The sequence below is a fragment of the Homo sapiens genome, chromosome 13 (genome assembly GCF_000001405.40).
Source record: "Homo sapiens chromosome 13, GRCh38.p14 Primary Assembly".
Classification (NCBI taxonomy): domain Eukaryota; kingdom Metazoa; phylum Chordata; class Mammalia; order Primates; family Hominidae; genus Homo; species Homo sapiens.
The window spans coordinates 52,349,601-52,355,600 of NC_000013.11; positions in this window are offsets into that span (position 1 = coordinate 52,349,601).

A 6,000-nucleotide genomic window follows, 5' to 3' on the forward strand; every position below is an offset into this window, starting at 1 on the left:
CATACTTTTAGTGTTTTTTTTTCACCTTCGCTGTCAAGGTATCACCCTACTCACTATTACCAGTGTGCCGCATTGTACTTTTCAGCTACTTCTAATTTGATGTAGGCTTGAAAATGAAATATGTGAGATCATAAAATAACATGTAAAATAAGAGTCCTATAGAGAGGCATGTGTGATAACCTCTCTCATTAATAACATACATGAGCTTTGAGTATGATCCAGGAGAAGTGAAGGAAGCTAGAAAGAAAATAAAATGATTCATTGGACTTGATTCTTGAAACTGTCTTTTTTGAGCAGCCAAGTTACAAAAACATAAGATTATGTTATTCTTTGAGATATATTTCACACACAATAAAAAGCACAGATCTTCAGTTTACAGTTTAATGAGTTTTGACAAATGTATACACCTTCGTAACCCAAAGCAGGATACAGAGCATTGGCATCCCCCCTGGAAGCTCCCTTGCGCCCTTTCTTGCCAATGCCCACACCCTACACACACACACCCAGAGGCAATAGTTGTTCTGATTTCCATAGCTATAGATTGGTTTGCTTGCCTTTTAACTTTACGTAGATAGAATCATATCATGGCCCAGAGTGGTGGCTCACACCTGTAATCCCACCACTTTGGGATGCTGAGGCGGGCAGATCACGAGGTCAGGAGTTCGAGAGCAGCCTGGCCAACATGGTGAAACCCCATCTCTACTAAAAAGACAAAAATTAGCCGGACATGGTGGCAGGCACCTGTAATCTCAGTTACTTGGGAGGCTGAGGCAGGAGAATCGTTTGAACCCAGGAGGCAGAGGTTGCAGTGAGCCAAGATCATGCCATTACACTCCAACCTGGATGACAGGGAAAGACTCCATCTCAAAAAAAAAAAAAAAAAAAAAAAAAAATCGTACCATAAGCACTCTTCTATTAACATATTATCTAGCTTCTTTTGTTCAATATATTATGTTGGAGGCTCACATTGTTGCATGTATTCAAGGTTCTCTTGCTTTGTTGACTAATAGTACACTGTACAATATAGTACACTTTGTTTATCCATTCTTCAGCTGACAGAATTTGGGTTGTTTACAACTTGGGGCTATTAGGAATATAGCCCTATGAATATTTAAGTACAAGTCTTTTTGTGGACATACGCTTTTATTTCTCTTGGGTAAATACTTAACAGTGGAATTTTTTTTTTTTTAAGACGGAGTCTCGCTCTGTCGCCCAGGTTGGATGCAGTGGCGCGATCACCGCTCACTGCAAACTCCGCCTACCGGGTTCACGCCATTCTCCTGCCCAGTAGCTGGGACCACAGGCTCCCGCCACCACGCCCGGCTTATTTTTTTGTATTTTTAGGAGAGACGGGTTTTCACCGTGTTGGCCGGGATGGTCTCAATCTCCTGACCTTGTGATCTGCCCGCCTCGGCCTCCCAAAGTGCTGGGATTACAGGCGTGAGCCACCGCCCCGGGCAGAGTGGAATTTTTATTTATTTAAAGGGTCCAATCTTACTACCTTTTTTTTTTTTTTTGAGGTGGAGTCTCGCTCTGTCGTCCAGGCTGGAGTGCAATGGCGCGATCTCGGCTCACTGCAAGAGCCGAGTTCACGCCATTCTCCTGCCTCAGCCTCCCGAGTAGCTGGGACTACAGGCGCCCGCCATTACGCCCAACTAACGTTTTGTATTTTTCGTAGAGATGGGGTTTCACCGTCAGGATGGTCTCGATCTTCTGACCTTGTGATCCACCCGCCTGGGCCTACCAAAGTGCTGGGATTAGAGACCTGCGCCTCCGCGCCCGACCACTACTTGTTTTTATAATGACTCATATGCACAAAATAATTTCTTAAACGCTATTTATTGGCTTTTAACTTTTCTAACCTATAGACAAAACAAGTGAAATGTAACTATAATTATAGAAGAGACTAAACAGTGGAGAAAAGAGCATGGTAGGTAAGAGGAACAGCATGTGCAGAGGCCCTGAGGAGGAAACAGCTTGGTGTATTGAAGAACCTGAGACCATGTGACTAGAGTACAGTGTTTGAAAAGAATAGTGGTAGGAGGGGAGGATGGCTGGAGTCCAATGAAGAACAGCCTAGTAGGCCACATTAAGCATGTGCGCCTGATGAATAGTTTTAGGAAGTAGAGTCATGTGATTCATTATTTTCTGTGGAGGGAATGCAAATATAAAAGGGGAAAGGGCTGGGCGCGGTAGCTAAGGCCTGTAATCCCAACACTTTGGGAGGCCGAGGTGGACGGATCACGAGGTCAGGAGATGGAGACCATCCTGGCTAACCCGGTGAAACCCTGTCTCTACTAAAAATACAAAAAATTAGCCGGGCCTGGTGGCGGGCACCTGTAGTCCCAGCTCCTCGGGAGGCTGAGGTAGGAAAATGGCGTGAACCCGGGAGGCGGAGCTTGCAGTGAGCCGAGATCGCGGCACTGCACTCCAGCCTGGGCGACAGAGGAAGACTCCTTATCAGAAAAAAAAAAAAAAAAAAAAGACAGCCTAGTAGGCCACATTAAGCATGTGCGCTTGATGAATACTTTTAGGAAGTAGAGTCATATGGTTCATTATTTTCTGTGGAGGGAATGCAAATATAAAAGGGGAAGGGGCTGGGCACGGTAGCTAATGCCTGTAATCCCAGTATTTTGGGAAGCCGAGGTGGGTGAATCACCTGAGGTCGGGAGTTCGAGACCATCCTGGCCAACATGGTGAAACCCCGTCTCTACTAAAAATACAAAAATTAGCTGGGCGTGGTGGTGCGTTCCTGTAATCCCACCTACTCAGGAGGCTGAGGCAGGAGAATCACTTACACCAGGGAGTTGGAGGTTGCAGTGAGCCGACATTGCACCACTGCACTCCAGACAGGGGACAGAGTGAGACTCCATCTAAAAAAAAATACAAAAATTAGCTGGAAATCATAGCAGGTGCCTGTAATCCCAGCTACTCGGCAGGCTGAGGCAGGAGAATCACTTGAACCCGGGAGGCGGAGGTTGCAGTGAGCCGAGATTGCGCCATTGCACTCCAGCCTCGGCGACAGAGCAAGACTCCTTCTCAAAAAAAAAAAAAAAAAAAAAGAAAGAAAAGAAAGAAAAGAAAGAAAGAAAAGAAAAGAAAAAAAGAAAAGAAAGAGAACAGAAGAAGCTCCTGTAGTAAATCTTCAGAGAGATGGACATGCATTAGGGTAGAGATGAAAAGACCTGGGCAAATTGAAACATATTTTGGAAGTAGAATTTGAGCTTATGGCATCTACAAAAACAAACGAATATTCATCGTAAAAAACAAAACAATAAAAAATTCAAGTAAATTACCAAGTGATAATTCTGAAATCTTAATTTGTTATTTTTTGTGGCGGTGATGGGGCTGATGCTTTTCTGTGAGTTATTGAAAGAGGTCTTTCCAGGACAGCTAAAAGAAATTAGGCTAAGGAGAATTGGTAAATTTAAAAGCAAATAATGAGGTAGAAAAAGACATTAAATCATTTTATTTTAAGTATCAAAAATTCAGACCTAAAACAGAGACATGAGATATCAATGAGTGATGTCTTACTGTAGCCAGTCTTATTAAGCTTTATTAGAAGTATGGGCTCACAGACCTACTTCTCTTGGCTTCATATCTGCCTCTTTGATGAAATAGAGAAACACTCAAGGTCTTTACTACACAGTGGTGTAGAGATGTTACTGCCCTAAAATATATTGCATAACAAGCTTATGCATGTGAAATAACTTTAAAACACATTCATTTCACTGGACTCATCCAGTTTGGGATCTAGCCAGTGGTAATACCAAGTGACAGTTTCGGGAGGCTTAAATCATTCCTAAAATCTCCATCATCCTCTTATCAAAGCTTCCAACTAAATATACAGTCTAAAGAATAAGATATGCTCTGCAAATGAAACTTTGAGGCTTGTTTGCTAACCCTGTTGTATTAGTTTGCAGGGTTGCCATAACACAAAGTACCACAGACTGGATTGTTTAAAACAACAGAAATTTGTTTCTCTCTCTTTCTCTCTCTGTCTCCCATTTTCATAGGACACATTATCTGGTAACTTAATGAGAAACAGAACATAGAAAGTAAAATTGTGAGACCTTTCATATCTAAAAATGTTTTGATTAATAGTTTAATTGATACTGAATACCTCATTGGAAAACATTTTCTCCTACAGTTTGAAAGAGTTGTTTCATTGTCTTATTTGACTTCAGAGTTGCAGATAAGAATTCTGATTCTGAATCTAAATCTCCCTGTTTTGAGCCTTTCCTCCTCACTCCAACTCTGCATGATGTTTGGTGATACCAAATCCTGAACTTGCCCGGTGCTCTCTGGAACAAATTGGTTCCCTCTCTTTGGCATCCCTCTCCTCAGGCAGTTAGGTTTAGCTTTCTTAGGTTTAGGTTTCAACTTGCGAACTCAATTACCATTCCTCTGTTGAGGGGTGACCACGAAAATATTTAATTACAAGGGGTGCAGGAGCACAGAACAGACACTGCCTGTAAATAATCAGTGGGGTCATGTCAGAGTGGAACAGTGAGTACTAATTCAGTATCTGCTCTGCTTCCATTCAATTTCTATTCTCTAACACTTTGGTGACATCTTTTTTTTTTTTTTTTTTCTTCACTGTTTTCTACTTTTCCCATTTTACTTGGGCTTGGGCATGCATGCCTTTTTGTATTTCTTTATTGTCATTTTGGCAGGGTTTCAGCAGGAGTAAAAATAAATGTGTGTATTTAAAAGCTATGTTTAGCAAAAAGTCTACAAGATGCTCAATATCTACTATCACATTTAATTTTTTTTTGAGATGGCATCTCGCTCTGTCGCCCAGGCTGGAGTGCAGTGACGCGATCTCGGCTCACTGCAACCTCCGCCTCACGGGTTCATGTGATTCTCCTGCCTCAGGCTCCTGGGATCCAGAAGACAAAGCCAAAAGACTGAGCAGGCGCAAGTCAGACTGGACCTCTATATAGTCAGGCTGAAGAGGACATCTCAGTGGATTTGCCAGGGCACCCACCACATTAATGTTAGTTGTAAATCTGTAAGAAGACGCACACCAGAAAGGCAGCTATAATACTGTGGTTAAGACTGTAGGCTGTGGAGGAAATTGCGTGGGTTACAATTTAACCATTTTTAAATGTGCAATTCAGTGGCATTAAGTACATTCATATTGTCCTGCAACCATCCCCACCATCCATCTGCAAAACGTTTTCATCTTCCTGAATGAAACTCTTTACTCATCAAACATGAACTCCCATTTTTTCCCTTCCCAAACCCCTGACAACCACCTGTCTACTTCCTCTTTCTATAAATTTGGCTTTTCCAGGTACCTCATATGAGTGGAAGCATACAATATTTGCCCTTTTGTGTCTGGCTTATTTCACTGAGCATATGTTCTTACAGTTCATCCATGTTGTAGCATGTGTCAGAATTTCCTTCCTTTCTAAGGCTTAATAGTATTCCATTATATGTATATATCATATTTTGTTTATCCATTCGTCAGTAGACATTAACATTATTTCCACCTTTTGCCTACAGTGAATAATGCTGCTAAAAACGTCAGTAAACAAATATCTATTTGAGTTCCTGCTTTCAGTGCTTTTATATATTCACACCCAGAAGTGGATCATATAGTAATTTTACATTTACTTTTTTGAGGGACTGCCATACTATTTTCCCACAAGGCTGCACCATTTTACACTCCCAACAGCAATATACAAGTGTTCCAACTTCTACATATCCTCACCAACACTTGTTGTTTTCTGTTTTCTGATACCAGCCATCCTAATTGGTGTGAAGAGGAGGCTCACTGTAGTTTTGATTTGTATTTCCCTAATGATTAAAGATGTTGAGTACCTTTTCAGGTGTTTTTGTTGGCCATTTATCAATCTTCTTTGGAGAAACATATATTCAGTTCCTTGCTCATTTTTGAATTGGATTGTTTGGCTTTTTTGTTGTTGAATTCTCAGATTTCTTTGTATATTCTGGGTAATAATCCCTTATCAGATGTGTGATCTGCAAATACTT